This window comes from Homo sapiens, chromosome 18, assembly GCF_000001405.40.
Source record: "Homo sapiens chromosome 18, GRCh38.p14 Primary Assembly".
In the NCBI taxonomy this organism is placed as follows: Eukaryota; Metazoa; Chordata; class Mammalia; order Primates; family Hominidae; genus Homo; species Homo sapiens.
This window is the reverse complement of record NC_000018.10, coordinates 12,061,807-12,080,793: the sequence shown is the minus strand read 5'-3', so window position 1 is coordinate 12,080,793 and position 18,987 is coordinate 12,061,807. Positions and strand designations below refer to the sequence as shown.

General features: G+C 45.1%; 2 pseudogenes, besides 1 other annotated feature; both read left to right on the top strand.

The window, feature by feature from the left end:
* On the top strand, positions 3,944-5,591 carry ADGRA3P1 (ADGRA3 pseudogene 1; annotated as a pseudogene).
* Positions 4,086-4,255: a silencer, noted in NCBI's record as "silent region_9305". NCBI's record gives its function as "represses an Ori minimal core promoter by ATAC-STARR-seq in GM12878 lymphoblastoid cells {active_cell/tissue: GM12878}" and the evidence as "EXISTENCE:reporter gene assay evidence [ECO:0000049][PMID:35858748]".
* LOC646044 (single stranded DNA binding protein 4 pseudogene) lies at positions 12,174-14,065 on the top strand (annotated as a pseudogene).

Here is an 18,987-nt window from a genome sequence, read left to right as displayed (position 1 = left end):
TGAGTACCTGATATAAGGAAAAGTGCTAAATTTTAGGAAAACCTTTTTAATAAAAATTCGGCATTTACCAAAAGTAAGGATTTGTGCTAACCCGTGCCATTTGTTTACATTTTCCTGATGCTTAGTCAATGGTAAACATATTTTGATTTCAGTAACTATTGCAGGTAAATACCCATCTACCCCTAAATTCATAAATTGTGTTGTGCACTAGTTGCTTGATAATCACAGCAGGTAGTTATTGATAATTACTGCCTTTCTGATAGAGTTACTTCTGTCAATAGGAAACGGTGGGTTCAGCACTGAGTCCCCAGCTAAAAGGCAGCTGAAAAGCTACCTGGCTTCTTTTCCTAAAGTCAAATTAAACTCGTACGGTGCTTAGGTTTATTTCTTGAGAACTCTGCCTCAAAGGCTTCATCTTCGGATGGCCAGTGTCTCCTAGACATTAGGCTTCCTCAAGAGGAGTAGGAGGCCCCAGGGCCAACTCTCTGGCCTTCTCTAAGGACTGAACTAGTCCCAGGAGATCATGATCATGGGGTTTTGCCAGGGGACCTGGGTTCATACTAGTTGGTCATGATGGAGTGTTTTAAATAATTTTGATAAATAATAAAGGACTAAATTTCGGATGTGGATTAGACACACAAACACATTTAAAGCAGATTCAGGCTTATATTCTCACATGAAGTCACTCTTCTCCGGCTGAATTCCAATGTGTTTTGCTGAGTAGGAGTAAAAAAAAAAAACACAGAGTTTGAGCTAACCAGCCCAGGAATTTCTCTTGGCCCCTGGCCCAGGGGAGTGGGTCCCATGTGAATGTCTTCTGACCTGTGAGTCACATGCAAAACAATTAAGAATCCCTTTTTCAGGAATTCTTTTTAAAAATATTGTTATTTTTAATTGACACATAATAATTGCACATATTTATGGGAACAGTGTGATATTTTGATACATGTGTACGATGTGTAATTCTCAGACAATTATTCTGCCCCTGAGATCCTAGCAATTAAGAGACTGGCAGAGAATACATAACCTGCGGAAGCCACAATGTGTTCAAGGCCAATGACAACTGCCTGCCTAGACTACAAGGTGGGAGAGATGAGAGTCTCCTGCCAAAATGAGAACCAGATGGCCAAGCACAGGCCAAGTGTGGAGGGTCCCCAGAGGGAAGGATTGGACGGTGAGGAGGTTGAGATGCTGCTCGCCTTGACTTCTCTTGCTTCATGGAAGAAACAAAGCACCTTTTACATTTTTCTGCATTTCCATTGTTTTCTAAGATATTTTCAGTATTATTCCTATTTTTTGTTTTTAATAGGTTCAATTTTTTTCTTAATAGGTTCCATTTATTATTCAGGTAAATTTTTTAATTTAAATGATTTTGCTATACTACATTGTCAGGCTTTTTTAACAGGGAGTTTTAATTTAAAAATAAGCCCCACCTTCCTATTTCTGTGAAATGTAAACTTATTTAAACAGGCAGGACAAGTCAAAAGGTTTCGATGCAAGACACTCAGTACTCCTGAGAATAAACATTAGGCCACTCAACCAGGCACAACAGCAGTGGCAGAACGACTTCTTTCTATTCACCAGAAATCAACTTAATAATTTCAGTGTCTGACATACCACAGGCTCATCATTTTTTGCCATTGATACTTTCCTAACCATCTTAACATGCTAGGTATGAGACTAGATATATTAAAATATGGTTTCTGCCCTCAAACTCCACATACCCTAGAGGTTTGGATTTTTATGCCTTTTGTGAGCACTTAATCATGATGAAACAAGAAACACACAATAAATGGAACAGACATGTCCAGATCCTTTGGCACCACGAATATTTCTGGCAGCCCATTATTCAGTTGCCAGGGAATTCTTTTAAAGCCATTAACCATGCTTTACATGGTAAGGTAATACTATTCACTTTCGCCAAAGCAGTCCAACAAGGGGAAAGAAGTAGCTGGCAGACTTCATTGATTCAACACTTTTTAAATGAGATTTATAATATAGAGAAGTTTAAAACATGTTGTATTTTTCAGGGAAACCGAAACAGCAATAATAATTAAAAGGAAAATATATAGCATGCAGAATGGATGTCCAGTCATCTCTCAGTATCCACAGGGAATTAATTCCAGGACCCCTGTGGACCCCAAAATCTGCAAGTGTTCACATCCCTGATCTAAAACAGTGTAGAATTTGTATATAACCTAGCATCCCCTGCATACTTCAAATCATCTGTAGATTAATTATAATACATAGTAATATATATAAATGTTATGTAAATAGTTGTTATATTGTACTTTTTTTACATTTGTAGTGTTTTTATTGTTGTATTTTTTTCAAATACGCTTTTTCAAATAATTTTGATCTGAGGTCAGTTGAATTTGTGGGTGCAGAACTCATGGATACGGAGGGCCAACTGTAATTCATAGAAGGGATTTTTTCCTTTCAAATCTTAGATGAAATAGTTAGAAATAATGAACTGTGATTCTTCACTTTCAGAAACTGTCCTTTGCAGATCCAGTATCCAGTCAACAGAATTGAAATGCAGAGTGGAAGATGGCAGAGTCCAGACACGGTAAACAAACCTTGGACTAAATTGCATTCAGCTGCAGAGCAGGTCCCAGTGTCTACCACGTGTGTCCAGGGTGACAAACCAGCCTTTAAGCTCCTTTCAGGTAGGATGTTTCCTCCTGAATAAGTAAACCAGCCATCGCTCCTTTACGAATGAATCCAGCTCTGCCTGTCCATTCTCCTCTCACCCTCCCTCTTCCACCCTATCTACCTATCAACCTCTGTGGCTTCCATTTTCCCTCCTCTCTAATAACATTGCTGCACCACAATTAGCTACATGGGGTCAAGATGGAACCTCTGCCAGTTTCTGCACCTATCTGGTAGGAAGCTCTCTCTCCTCAGCTGCCAGAAAGCCAGGCTCACCCATGACCAAGTTTGCTGCCACATGCAACAGCCTGTGTGTAAGAGGGAAGAATGGGTCACGTGTGCAGAGGGAAGCAGGGATGGAGAGAGGAGGCTGACCCCTCATGGCATCCCCATCTGCCTCTGTGCACTCCATCAGGATGCCCTCGCCTTCCCTCACTTCCCAGTTACAGGGAAGAAAAAATAACCTGGGTCACCTATTCTCATTTTAAGTCGGGGCTCTGATACCTGTATCTCAAAGAGCACTCAAGATAGACAATGAAAATAAGAACAATTCCTTGAGCATCCAAATTTTAGGTTGTGAGGAAAGCATGTTTAACAATTTCTAGGCCGGGCGCGGTGGCTCACGCCTGTGCTCCCAGCACTTTGGGAGGCCGAGGCGGGCGGATCACAAGGTCAGGAGATTGAGACCATCCTGGCTAACAAGGTGAAACCCCGTCTCTACTAAAAATACAAAAAATTATTCAGGCGTGGTGGCGGGCGCCTGTAGTCCCAGCTACTCGGGAGGCTGAGGCAGGAGAATGGTGTGAACCCGGGAGGCGGAGCTTGCAGTGAGCCGAGATTGCGCCACTGTGCTCCAGCCTGGGCGACAGAGTGAGACTCCGTCTCAAAACAAACAAACAAACAAACAAACAAACAATTTCTAGCCATCTTTAGTCCTATTTTAAATCAAGAGTGGCATTTCCCCCAAATTAACATAGCAATGAAATAGTTTACGGTTATTAATCCCTTACCAAGTAGGTGCTAGCTTCCTATATATTAGCTAACTTAAGCTTCTCAAATACTCTGTGAAATTAGTACTATTACTACATCCCCTTTTCAGGTGAGGAAACCAAGAGTTAGAGATTAGGGACCCCAGAGCCAATGTTCTTATTTATTCATTGTATTGTCTTATCTTGGGGACTGTGTTCTAGTCTCCCCTTCCTTCTCCATATTCCTGTTTTTATTCTCCTCCCTATCATGCGTCTTCTTCCTTCTACCATCTGGTTATAATTAAAAAAAAAAAAAAAAACTGGACCCCTGGCTCCCTCCAGGCCCAGAGCAGCCGCAGAGGACAAAGGAGCACGTCGGCGCCGGGGAGGGCCGGTCCTCCGGCCGCCATGAGGCTCCGGGCGCCACTGGGCCCGATCCGCGCTCCTGCTCGCCCGGGCTCTGGGGCGGCCCGCTAGGCCAGTGCGCCGCCGCTCGCCCAGCAGGCCCCGGCCGGCAGCATGGAGCCGCCCGGACGCCGGCGGGGCCGCGCGCAGCCGCCGCTGCTGCTGCCGCTCTCGCTGTTAGCGCTGCTCGCGCTGCTGGGAGGCTGCGGCGGCGGCGGCGGCGGCGCCGCGGCACTGCCCGCCTGCTGCAAGCACGATGGGCGTCCCCGAGGGGCTGGCAGGGCGGCGGGCGCCGCCGAGGGCAAGGTGGTGTGCAGCATCCTGGAGCTCGCGCAGGTCCTGCCCCCAGATACTCTGCCCAACCGCACGGTCACCCTGATTCTGAGTAACAATAAGATATCCGAGCTGCAGAATGGCTCATTTTCTGGGTTAACTCTCCTTGAAAGATTGGACCTCCGAAACAATCTTATTAGTCGTATAGATCCAGGTGCCTTTTGGGGACTGTCATCTCTAAAAAGGTTGGATCTGACAAACAATCGAATAGGATGTCTGAATGCAAACATATTTCGAGGACTCACCAATCTGGCTCGGCTAAACCTTTCGGGGAATTTGTTTTCTTCATTACCTCAAGGAACTTTTGATTATCTTTCCTCATTACGGTCTTTGGAATTCCAGACTGAGTATCTTTTGTGTGACTGTAACCTACTGTGGATGCATCGCTGGGTAAAGGAGAGGAACATCACGGTACAGGATACCAGGTGTGTTTATCCTAAGTCACTGCAGGCCCAACCAGTCACAGGCGTGAAGCAGGAGCTGTTGACATGCGACCCTCCGCTTGAATTGCCGTCTTTCTACATGACTCCATCTCATCGCCAAGTTGTGTTTGAAGGAGACAGCCTTCCTTTCCAGTGCATGGCTTCATATATTGATCAGGACATGCAAGTGTTGTGGTATCAGGATGGGAGAATAGTTGAAACCGATGAATCGCAAGGTATTTTTGTTGAAAAGAACGTGATTCACAACTGCTCCTTGATTGCAAGTGCCCTAACCGTTTCTAATAATCAGGCTGGATCTACTGGAAATTAGGGCTGTCATGTCCAGACCAAACGTGGGAATAATACGAGGACTGTGGATATTGTGGTATTAGAGAGTTCTGCACAGTACTGTCCTCCAGAGAGGGTGGTAAACAACAAAGGTGATTTCAGATGGCCCAGAACATTGGCGGGCATTACTGCGTATCTGCAGTGTACGCAGAACACCCATGGCAGTGGGATATATCCCGGAAACCCACAGGATGAGAGAAAAGCTTGGCGCAGATGTGATAGAGGCGGCTTTTGGGCAGATGATGATTATTCTCGCTGTCAGTATGCAAATGATGTCACTAGAGTTCTTTATATGTTTAATCAGATGCCCCTCAATCTTACCAATGCCGTGGCAACAGCTCTACAGTTACTGGCTTACACTGTGGAAGCAGCCAACTTTTCTGACAAAATGGATGTTATATTTGTGGCGGAAATGATTGAAAAACTTGGAAGATTTACCAAAGAGGAAAAATCAAAAGAGGTACTTTTCTAAATTCAGATTTGTAGCATACAGTGTCAACAAATGGTAGTGTGACAGAGTTCAATCTGTATATTTTAAGGCCTGTTTATGTTTATCATATTTGAACTAAAAGCACGCTTTTAAATTTCCAGAATTTTGTGGAGATACTTCTGCCTCTTCTCTTATAATGACCTGTTTGTTACTGGGACTGGGAGAGATGAACTCTCAGTTCCTGGACATTAAGGTCCAGAGATATAGCAGAGGTTGCTGGTGAGAAAGTAGTGCTCTGCCTCCACACTGTGGCTTAGGCAGGGCTGCTTAGCTCAGCCTGCTGGATTTCTCTTCTCCACACACCCCTGAGCTCATCTTTTGTAACGGGAGTTTTAGTCACCCAGATCTTGTAGTAAATTCCTTTTAATTGTCCTTGTAATGTCCTAGAGAAATGAGAGGCTGTTTAGGCGCTTTTTTGAAATTCAAAATGATTGGACTATATAAGTTTTAAAAATGCAGTGAATTCTACAAGTGGTGTATTTTACCTTAACGGGACCACATTGAAACCATGATATGCTTGTCCACATGATATCTTCTAGGGGAAAGAAATTGACAAGCACAGTTTACAGAATGAATGAGCAGCAAATTAATGCTTTGAATAATTTTTAAGGGGCAGAATTATTGTGTTCTTAAGCTTTATGTTTAAAGCTTTGTGAGAACTTTATATGTACAATTTCTTTTGTGATATAATCACTTATAAAGAAATGAATTATAGAGGTAGAGGGAACCTCAAGCAAGTTGTAAACTGAAGCCCACGCTTAGGTTAGGGCAGGCCTGAAAACAGAACCCAAGATCCCTGACTCATCCATAAGAGTTTTCTGTAGCATCACATTCACCTTCTCATACAATGTGGCCCTGACTTGCAATTCTAAAAGTGCTTTGTATACAACTGTGGGGAAAACACTGGGCTGAACAAAACCTGCATATTTCTTTATGTAGAACTTCTCAGATCCATTAATATTGCTAAAATGTAAATAATAAGCCTTGTTTTCCTAAATCATTCTAATATATTTTTATATATCAATTATATATACACACACTTATATATCACATATATATTCTAATATATAATATATATTTAGATATATCTAATATGTATATCACATATTTATATAACTAATATAGATATATTCTTATATATAATATATATATAAGAATTAGTATCTTGCATTCTGGTAATAAGTTTTTGGAACTGTGGCCCTAGTGCATTAGGCACTTTACTTGATAGGATGTAGTTATTAAAGGAAGGAAAATAGATATATGTATATAAACGAGACTTAGGCAGATGGGCCACCTCACTTGTCAGCGGGATAATATTTCATTGGTTTTCTGAACTTCAGGGGCCATGATTTTCTAATAACTGCTCCTGATACTTGTGTCTCCAGGGCACAGCCCACTTTCCTGCAGTGAATGTTCCTTGCACTGGGAGAGGCCGTTTGGATTCTGGCTCTGTGATTAATATTGTGCTCCATTGTTGCTTAAGATGATGGGTTAGCTGCCCACAGGATTAGCAGTCATTTCTGGGAGTGGGATGTTTCTAGTTACTAGAATAATTGTAATGACATTTGGAATGTGGACATGGAAGAACATTCGCCATCGAAGAATACATATTTATGATGTGACCCTGTTTTGCTCACCTCTCAACTTGAGCAACATGGTGTCCAGAGGTGTATGTTGAACTGTTTGCCAGCGTGTGGAAGAATGGTTGACTGCGTTGACGGGTTTCTTAGGTGGAAGCATCGTATTGAACTGGAAGTAGACGTGATTTCATTAGTTATTAATTAACCATGGGCTTATTCTTCATTTATCAAATGGGGATGCTATTTTCTCTGTATAATTTGAAAAGTGTATGTGCACAAATACAGGTGAACAATTTTGCAAAATAGTTGCAAAGCTTGGTTATCATTTTATTAGGTTATGAAATAAAACATTTTTATGACCTCAGATGCTAAGAAGGAAGTCCTTTTAAACAATCACGAGTGCATCAGTTACTTCTGTAAAAATTTACTGTGAAGAAGATTGCTGTCACTTTTACTGGTTAACATAGGACAGAAAAGTTATGGTTATCTTTGGAAGCAAGTGATGGCAACTTATTAACTGTCAGCACAAGAAACAGGAAAATATTCAGGATTGAATAATTGAGATATAAATGTAATAATATTGTGTGTGATGCAGTGACTGACATACAGTTCTTTGGCAATTTGAACCACAGGCCATAGGTTTCACCATTTATTAGTGTAGTGAAAAAAAAATTAGGAGGCTTAAGGGCTTCATTTTAAGTTAATTACCACAGCATAAAATTATGCCAAGTTATCCTAAAATGCACCTAGCTTAGATAGAGAAATAATTAATTAAATTGATTTTTGTATTATGTCTGAAAGTTATTCTTTTATGGGTGATTTCATAACTAAAGTACTGTGGGGAAATAGCTTTTTAATCTGTGATTGAGCCTGGCCAACACAAGCTGGCACTCTGTTGTCTCAGGATAGGCATTAAAAGCTCTCAAACTGCCAGATCTAAGTGATATATTTAGTGGATCCTTTTAAAAACAGTTAAAGGTTGTCTGTCAGGCATCAGAAGTGTCTGTTATGTATTTACTAAAGTGATTTTTCTTATGAAAATAGTATGTGTATTTTATAAGATGGGAAAATTAAATATAAAGATTAGATCTGAAAAAAACCCACCTTTTTTATTCCACAAAGTTTTAGTGTCTGATGATGAATTCTGGAAGCCTGTGAATGCCTATAGAAGTTCTCTGTCATCAAACCTCCTTGCACACGACCTTCCATCCAGGCCCTGAGAATTCTCCTGTGTTAATTTTGTTTAACACTCCACAAGCACAGGGAGAGTTCGTTCTGTACAAATATACATAGCCAAAGGTCATTCACTAATATACTCTCAACAGCTGATGGAAAAAGGGCAATTATTTTTTATTTCCTCTAATTTTTCTGCAATAGTGGTTTAAAACCATAGGGCTTTGTTATTACTTGAAATCAGACATCTGAATTCTAGTAACAGCTCTGCCTCTGGTTATCTTTATTTCTTTAGACAAGTTACTCTTCGGTCTTTCTCCTCCCTTAATATAACACAAAAGGGTTTTTTTGTTTTGTTTTGTTTTGTTTTGAGACGGAGTCTCGCTCTGTCACCCAGGCTGGAGTGCGGTGGCACGGTCCCAGCTCACTGCAACCTCTGCCTTCCAGGTTCAAGCGATTCTCCTGCCTCAGCCTCCCGAATAGCTGGGACTACAGGCACGTGCCACCATGCCCAGCTAATTTTTGTATTTTTAGTAGAGACGGGGTTTCACCATGTTGGCCAGGATGGTCTCGATCTCATGACCTCTTGATCTGCCCACCTCGGCCTCCCAAAGTGCTGGAATTACAGGTGTGAGCCACCGTGCCTGGCCACAAAAGGGTTTTTAACAGGCTCCTTTCATTTTGCAGTTTTATATTTTCATGAACATCATCACTGGAAAAGCAGACATCTCTGTCTTCATATTGTAAATTCATTATTCACTTGGTCATCATGTTTCTTCATTGATTACTTTTACCAATCATTCTTTCAATTGATTCATTACTCAATTTTTACCACAGAAAAAAGTAACTTCGTTTTCCCTCTAGGTTACTTAATGTAGTGGTAAAACTGGTGGTCAAAGGAGGCACAGTTTTCATCTAATTCAACAGTTTTTCATGAAGCATGTCTCAGCCGCTGAGAGCCACCTGAATGTGGACCTGCCCCTCTGCTTCTTCAAAATAATTAGCAGAAAAGGATTAATAATTCATGGAAGTGGTGGTTTTTTGCCAGCATATTCCTATAAAAAGGGAAATATTTTCACATACTGTAGGGGCTGCCAGGCAGCTGAACATGTGGCCTGGCACGGAAATTGGTGATAAAACTAAAATATCAGGAAATTGTACCACTCATAACTTTTCTGCCAGAAGCTTCATTTACATTATTTTTAACTCTTGAGAGAAAAAGATTTTCATATCTAATCAAAGGAGCCAAGACTTTTTACCATGCATTGAACATTGAATTTTAATGTGAAATTCTAGGAGAAAAATAGATTTTTCTTCTCAATTAACCAATAGTGACATTTTACTTTGCCAATATTAAGATGATCTTCTGTTAAAATTTAGCTGAAATCTGTTTAACCCCAGAAATGGCTGCTCTAGTGGATGATATGTACTCGAGTAACACAATTTTCTCAGCAAATTAGTAATTTCAGCCTTTTGGGTTAAATGGTGAGATCTATAAAATTTTCCAAGTCCTATTTCCCACACGAGATTTATCATTAATAGATTAAAAGTAATTGTAAAAGATAGAGGTAAGACAAAACATTATTTATCATCCCTTAATTAATAGTTTTCATATTTAATGACATTATTTTTTAAAATATCATTTTCACATCTACCTAATTCCCTTGCAATGTCTATTTTCCCCTGATCTGATCATAAATATCTAGATGGCACCCCCTTAAGTATATGACAATTGCTGTTGTTTATATTTTGCTTTTTATCAACCATGTATCCTTTGTCAGTTTTCATAATGTCTTAATATTTTATCATTGTATATGAAGGGTAGGTGATCCCTTCATAAAAGACAAAAGTCAGAATTCATCAGTCTCACTATCAACATGTGTTCAACAGTGCGCTTTTCAAAATAAATAGCTTTATATTTTTCCTTATTTGTAAAATATCATGATTTACAAAACATGAAAATACTAAAAATCTTTTATTTTTGCATAGACACTCCCACACACTAAGACCAGCACATATAAAATACGACCACTCTATTGTGAATCCTGCTTTAATTACATATTAATATATAATTAACTGTATGTCTATAAATATAGTCATGTAATCACTTTACTGCTTATATAGTGTTCCATAATTTAACAAAATTTAATTTCTGATTAATATGTAAATTTATATCTACAGTTTTGCTATTATACATAAGAATGCGATCAGCAACTTTACCTATATCTTTGAACATTCATTCAATTATTCCTTTAGGGCAAATTCCTAGAAGTATGATTACATGTATATGTAAAATTTTGATTAACACTATCAAAATTCTAACCCTCAAATTTATTCAAATATATGTGCTCAATTGAATTGAGTTTTTATAAAGCTGTTTTATCTTTTACAAAACATTTTATCTTAGCTTATATTTTTATAATTAGTAATAAATTTTCTTAGATTTGTCAGCAATTTTAACATTTTATTGGTGTGTTGTATGAATTGTCTCTTCTATTAGATGTTTGTCTTTAATCCTTTAATCCCAAATATGGCATATCTGCAGCCAAGACATTTGCCCTTTAGGTTAAAAATTTCATATACTAACTTTCCTGAACAGAAATGATGAATGTTTATCATTATTAATTTTTACCATTTTAGCTTTTGAATTTTTCAATTTTCTTTTGTTGTCCCAGTAAGTGCAAACAAATATAATATTTGTTTTTTGGCCCTTAGCAATTTTTTAATATCCAAATAGCTGAACTCCAGAAGGTATTGAATGAGCTCAACACATGTGTTATGCCCTCATTTTGGGTTGGCCAGTCAGGCTGAAAAGACCCTGCCACACCTACTCACTCTTTGTAGAGACTAGGGCAGGTCTGTTCACAAACATCCATGCTTCAACACTCTCATCTATGCACGGAAGGTGCTGCAACACCTTAACATTGTTTCTTTCCAAAACTTACTTCCATATTACTCTCAAAAGAAACATGAATCCTAAATAATTAACTCCATCATCAAATAATGAATTTTCCAAGATAATCCTTGACTACAGGATTTCTGGTTTAAGATTGGTTCTGATTGGCAGTCTATAACGCTTCCTCTACCAATTCCCACTAAAGTAGATGTAGACACACTGGAAAGTAGACACACACACACACACACACACAGAGTAAGTTGAGCTACTAGTAAAAATCCCTTTAGGAATCTTAAATAGAATCGTAAAGGAATTTTCACTAGTAGGTCAATTTAACTGAATTGCAAAACTCAAATGATAGTGTTGTATGTATATGTCTCCCATGGAAACCAAGCAAACAAGCCAGCCTTAAAAAAGATACAAGTATATTTCATTCTTTTCCCACAGCGTTCCCCCTAATTCAGAAACACAAGATTCGCACTAAATAGAAACTGGGCAACTGTGTCCTTCCTGAATAGAAGCCTCCTTCTGAGAAAGCCAGACTCTTGCTCTTATCATTATTATGATCACCCCACCTTCCCCTGACTTCTATTATCTTTCTACATCTAGTCCCACTCTCAGAAACAACGGGGCAATTGGGCGGTAAGAGAGTGTGTGCATAGCGTGTTTGTTGGGAATCATAGAAAGAAAGAAGCCAACCCCCACAGCCCAGTGTCTTTTAGGAGATACGGCACTCGTCAGCAAAAAGTTATCGGAACAGTTAGGGACTGAAAATTCCTGGCAATATCCAACATGAACACCGGAAATAGCCTAACTATGCAGTAATTATAAAATGTTTATATATGCTATTTAAATATAGTGGGTAGTATGTGACATTAAAATTAGATTTTTGATAAAATGTGATGAGAAGAAAAAAAGCCACCCTGCGGCCGGGGCCGGAGCTGGAGCCGCCGTCTGGAGCTCCCCCGCGCGGACGATGCCCGCGGTGCCCGCCCGGGGCTCTGGGCTGTGAGGCCTGGGGCCCGGGGTAGCTATGGCGTCGGCGAGCGCGGCCCGCGGCGCCGCCTGACAGGTGTGGGCCCCGGCGGCGGCGGCGGCGCGGAGCAGCACGTACGCCAAGAGGGGCAAGGGTTCGGCCGTGCCCTCCGACAGCCAGGCCCGCGAGAAGCTGACTTGGGATGCCCCACCCCTCCACAAAGATGACTGTCCCCTCTGCCCAGCCTCTGGGTCATTTTGGAGAAGAGGCTCTTCTGGCCGCAAGGTGGTTGGCGCTGTACGTCTATGAGTACCTGCTGCACATCGGTGCCCAGAAGTCAGCCCAGACCTTCCTGTCTGAGATCCGATGGGAGAAGAACATCACGCTGGGGGAGCCCCCCGGGTTCCTGCACTCCTGGTGGTGCGTCTTCTGGGACCTGTACTGCGCAGCGCCTGACCGAAGAGAGGCCTGCGAGCACTCCGGCGAGGCCAAGGCCTTCCAGGACTATAGCGCTGCAGCCGCCCCCAGCCCTGTGATGGGGAGTATGGCCCCAGGTGACGCAATGGCCGCAGGCCCCACGGCAGCTGGCTTCTTCCAGGGCCCCCCCGGCTCCCAGCCATCCCCCCACAACCCCAATGCCCCCGTGATGGGGCCTCACGGTCAGCCCTTCATGTCACCGCGCTTCCCAGGGGGTCCCCGGCCCACCCTGCGGATGCTAAGTCAGCCTCCCGCAGGCCTCCCCGGCTCCCATCCCCTCCTCCCTGGCGCCATGAAGCCCTCCCCACGAGCCCAGGGGCATCCGAGCATGGGCGGCCCAATGCGGAGGGTGACGCCTCCTCGCGGCATGGCCAGCGTGGGGCCCCAGAGCTATGGAGGCGGCATGCGACCCCCACCCAACTCCCTTGCCGGCCCAGGCCTGCCTGCCATGAACATGGGCCCAGGAGTTCGTGGCCCGTGGGCCAGCCCCAGTGGAAACTCGATCCCCTACTCCTCCTCATCCCCTGGCAGCTACACGGGACCCCCAGGAGGAGGTGGGCCCCCTGGAACACCTCATCATGCCTAGCCCTGGAGATTCTACCAACTCCAGTGAAAACATGTACACTATCATGAACCCCATCGGGCCGGGTGCCGGCAGGGCTAATTTCCCGCTCGGCCCTGGCCCGGAGGGCCCCATGGCCGCCATGAGCGCGATGGAGCCTCACCACGTAAGCGGATCCCTGGGCTCGGGCGACATGGACGGGTTGCCGAAGAGCTCCCCCGGCGCCGTGGCCGGCCTGAGCAACGCCCCGGGCACCCCGCGGGACGACGGCGAGATGGCGGCCGCCGGGACCTTCCTGCACCTGTTTCCAAGCGAAAGCGTAAGCGACTGCTTCGACTCTCCCCCCTCCAGGGCGGTGTCAGGCGGGAGGGGCCTGGCGGGCAGGCCCCGGCGGGGCGGCCGGGGGGCCAGAGCAAGACCGTGACAGCGGCGGGCCAGTACTCGCCAGGGATGACCATGAGTGTGTGATGGGGCGGCAGCCCCGGGCCTCTGCGGGCCTAGGCTTCTGCCCAGCCTCCCTGCTCAGGGTGAGGGGCTGAGGTCACACCTTGGGCACCTGGACTCCTGGCCAGTCAAGGCTTGCCCAGCTGGGAGGCCCCACACGAAAGATTCTTACCATTTTATTAGAAACGCAAGGACCTCAGAGACGTTCTTTTCTGTATGGACCCTTTCTGCCATTTGTATTTTGTCCCAGAGAGAAAGGCTCTTTGGGGGGCCCCTCTCCCCAGGACGTCAGGGGGTGGGGCCCATCGATAAATGGAAGCTGGTTTTGGTTTTTTGGTAAAAAAAAAAAAAAAAAAAAAAAAGTGATGAGAAAACTCAGACACAGCCTTCATGCAATTTTGCTGAAAATATAGTGAACATGCTCTTACAACTCATTCATACCCAGGTTTCCATGACTTCAAGTTTTGTGTTCTTTTTCTGCTACTTCAGTAAGAGTATTTAGAGACACAAGATGGCCAATCATAGAATCTGGGGGAAATTAACAATATTTAAAGAGCAGATCAAGAAAGAGGAACTACTTAAGACAACAAAAGGAGGTATGAGAATGTGCAGGCCAGGCACGGTGGCTCAGGCCTGAAATCCCAGCAGTCTGGGAGGCCGAGGGGGAGCGGAGCACCTGAGGTCAGGAATTCGAGACCAGCCTGGCCAACATGATGAAACCCTGTCTCTACTAAAAATACAAAAATTAGCCTGACGTGGTGGTGGGCACCTGTAATTCTAGCTGCTCGGGAGACCGAGGCAGGAGAATTGCTTGAACCTGGGAGGCAGAGGTTGCAGTGAGCCAAGATCCTGCCATTGCACTCCAGCCTGGACAACAAGAGTGAAACTCCATCTCAACAAACAAACAAAGAAGCAAACAAAAGATGTGCATGGAGGAGTTTTAAGAAAGAGGGAGTCAAATCTAGTAGAGGCCAGCTTTGATTAGAGGTGATCATTCATCACAGGACTTTTGGAGAAAATTGGTGACGTGTATCAAAAAAGTTTCAGTGGAATTGTGGAAAAGATAAGTGTGATGGAGCAGTGAGTTGTGAACTAAATGAAAGGTAGAGAAGGGGAGACAATGAGGACAGACTTCTCTTTTAAAAAGCCAGAAAAAAAACGGAGATGGAAAGGGATGAGAATGCAGGTGGAGGTGAGACAGACAAAGAGATGAGGTGAGGCCAAAGGACAAGGTGGCCCTTTAGCGCAAGACTCATGGGAGTCCTTATAAACTAAAGGGTAGGAACCAGGGGCTGAGCAGAGGCTGACAACACAGAGGAAAGGACGTTTCAAGATTCCTTAGTAGCTGAGTGAGAAGACCCTGAGCACTGGTGGAGGAGCATGGCATGAACAGACAGAGGACTCTGAGAGCAGACGAAACAGAAGACGACTATCCTGGGGCCAGATGTGCAGCAGGGGATGGGCAGGAAGGCGGGGAGTTCAGACAGGACTCATAAGCTGTGAGTGCATGGAGAGGCAAGCTGGCTGACTGCGTATTTGCATAAATGCAGTTATTATAAAATCCATATATAGATTTTACTTTTCAAAGAACTATAACACACAGAACACCAAAACTATACAAAATAAAGCCATCTGTTTTAGACAATTTAGAAAATACTTAAGCATATGGCCGTGTTCTTCATTAAGAATAATAGACCTTTACTGTGTAAGTCTGAAATTCTGAGCTGCCTTTGAACGGGCTCCATGATACGCTCTGAAAGCTACTTTAAAAACAAACCTCTGATACCCATTGGTTTATTTGTCTTCTGTCTCTTTCTCATAAAAGTTGACTATAGAAGACATTTCCAGTAACTGTGATTTCAGTGATTTCAAAGCTAAATGAATAGGAGTTTCCTGCACCATCTCATAAGCATTGCATTTGCCCAGAAAACTGCTTAAACTTGACTTCAGACTTTTACTACACTCTGCTTCTGTAATGGATCAGTTCTCTGGTTTATATGAAATTCTAACAGGCTTGCATAAGCTTTCATCCTACTCATTCTTACATGAACTTCATGATATAATGAAATAAAAATGTAATGAGATAAAAATCTCTAAGCAAATTACTTCCTAAGTGGCAAATCACTAGAAAGTGAGAATTGTTATAATTCCGTCCGTACTCCACCTCCAGGGATGTGCTTTCAGGAACAAAGACAGATCTCAGTGTTCCAGTGAAGCAAGAGTGGCTGTGACCGTGGTCCAGTGCAGCAGAGGAAAGACCTATGTCTGAGCATGAGGCCATGTTAGAGAGGCTCCTGGGGTTTGGCTCCTCTTCCTGCCTCACCCCTTCTACTTTGAACCCCTGCCCCAGTTCACACCCCCTCCACTGCCCTTCAGGAGTAAGGCACACTGCACACACACACACACTACACACTCATACACTGTACACACACACTGTACACACATTGCACACTCACACTGTACACACACTGCACAGACATGCACACATTGCATACACATGCACACTGCACACACATGTACACACACTGCACACATGTACACACACTGCACACACGTACACACTGCACACACACAGTGCATTCACACATGCACACTCCTTCTGTGTGTTTCAGATGCTGCCAATGCTGTGGGTGCCCTGGGGGAGACAGGGTCCCACAGGGTCAGCAGGGAGGACTGGCGCTGGTGGTCTGAAGGGCTCCCGGGCTAAGTGTGAATCATAGCAGGGCAGGGCTGGGGTTGGGGAGAGGGAGAGGGGCCATGAGAGGGGTGTGGCGTGGGGACGCTCCTCCTCCTCACCCCTGTGGTCCCCTCAGATCTTCAGGGTCAGCAATGCCAAGCTGGAGCCACAGGCCAGGCCTTCCAGTCCTGTGACTGGTGAGTGACTCGGATAGGGCTGGTGAGGGATGAGGGCCTGTGTCCTAGGGCAGTGAGCTGAGGCCCTGGAGGAAGTGGGAGGCGATGGGGAGAACTTGGTCTCACCTCTGCCTGGAGAGAGGGACTTCCCACAGGACCCCCAGGGCTTCCTGGCCTCAGGGGCGATCCTGGAGCCAAGAGAGAGAAGGTGAGTGACACACACACAGCCAGGTGTCACTCCATCACCCTCAGCCCTGAAGCCTATGGGACCCTGAGGCCCCTGCTCTGCTCCAGGCCCCCAGCACCAGGCCATGGGGTCCCTGCTCAGGGAGGGCCACTCAGAGACCCTGTGCCCTGTCCCTCTCTGTAACTTGGCCGTTCTCCCCCATGTGTGTGACTCCTCCTGCATCCCCCGGCCACCTGCTCCCTTCTCTAGGGGTACCCAGGTCTCGTTGGACTGATCAGGTCCCCAAGGAGGCAGGGAAAGAAGGGAGATGGGGCCTTCCTGGCCCTCAGGGCTGCCCTTGGCAGAGAGTGAGTGGTGAGTAGAGGGCCTGGTGGGATTCAGATTGGGGGTGGGGAGGGGTGGGGTTGAGACTCAGCTGTCAGGGAGGGAGCAGAGGCTGGGGAGGAGGTGGGAGGAGGATCCAGTTGAGCCAGCCCCCTACCTTCCCTAGGGTATTCCGGGAGCATCCAGCCCCACTGGTCCTGGAGGGATCCTGGTGTCTCCGTGAGCACCGCCCTCTGTTCCTCCAATAAATCCCGAGTCCTACTGTTTTCTCCCATGACCTCCAGCATAACACGCTGAGACCTCAGGGTCCCCATTTGTCCTCACACCTCCAATGCTTCCTCCCCATACTTCCTGGGCTCCAAAGTCCCCAAATACTCCAATGCCTGCCCCTGCTGTGGTAACCCAAGGCTCCTGTGGACTCAGGACCTGGCCTCTGCACTCCTCCGAGTCCCGTCCTTCCCCTGCAGTGACCGTTCCTCATCTCACAGGGACCTTTGGGCCCAAGAAAAGCCAAAGGAGCCACAGTGGGTGACCCCATGAGCTCTGACCTTTGCCCCCTCCCACTGGGCTTGAAACTGTCTCTCCAGGGCAAAGAGACCCCCCAGGGAGACCCTGATCCCCAGCCAGGAAGCTGACTGAACGCTTCTGTGACCTTGATCCCATGTGTGACCTCTTGACCTCTCTATGACCTCATTTACTCCTTTGTCAGGGCCCAGCTGGACCCAAGGGACAAAAGGATGTCCAGGGCCCTTCAGGACACACAGTGAGTTAGGAGTCAGGGCTCCCAGGACACCCAGTGAGTGAGGAGTCAGGACACATTAACAGGATCATGAAAGCATAGCTACTCAAGTAACTAAATAATTATGCAACTAATTTTTTCCTCATCACTAAAACATAGTTATGGACAGATTATTTTTAAAATACAACACACTAACAAGTAGTTTATCCTTAAAACTCAGTTATGGTTTGTTGTTTGTTAAGGCCATTGCTTGGGAAAAAGAAAACAGGAGAAGGAACAAGATGATGATACCGAGAAGAAAACACAGACTGGAAGGAAGGAAAAAGAACAGGGGAGGGAATTAGAAGGCCTATTATGACACCTTTTTCCACTCCCTGATTCGTGAAATTTGAATAAGTCCAATATCAACAACAAAAAAAAAAGCAAAAAGATATACAAGTAGTCACATCCTAAATTTTGTTAATAGTGAGATAATACCGAGGGGGGCGGATCACCTGAGGTCAGGAGTTTGAGACCAGCCTGACCAACATGGCGAAACCCCGTCTCTATTAAAAATACAAAAATTAGTGCCCATAGTCCCAGCTACTCTACTTGGGGGGGGGGGCTGAGGCAGGAGAATAGTTTGAACCTGGGAGGCGGAGGTTGCAGTGAGCTGAGATCACACCACTGCACTCCAGCCTAGGTGACAGAGTGAGACTCCATCTCAGAAAAAAAAAAAAAAAGAGTGAGATAATATGCTGACACTCACACCTGGCTCATGCAGAGGAGGGCTCCCTCCAGAGACTGCAGGAGAAGGGGGAGGACTCTTCCTTGCCCTGGCTGTTCCTCCCTCGCTTCCACTGAGGCACCCGAAGCTTCCTACCCACCCAAGTCCTGGCCGGGCAGGCCCTGCAGTGCTCTTACTGCCCCTTCCCGGCCCCTAGACTTGCTGCTGCTGTCCCCACCAGCACTAATGTCAGTACAACCATCGCTACTGTTGTCCTCAATGCACTGGCCCGAGCTACAAAGCTCCTACCACCTGGCCACCGCCGCAGCCCCAACCCTGCCACGGCTGCAGCCAGCAGTCCTCCTACCACTCTGGCGCACTGCAGTCTCCGTAGCCACCACCAACCATTGCGAGGTGAGCAGCAGCCCCAGGCCATCAGAACCACAGCGGGT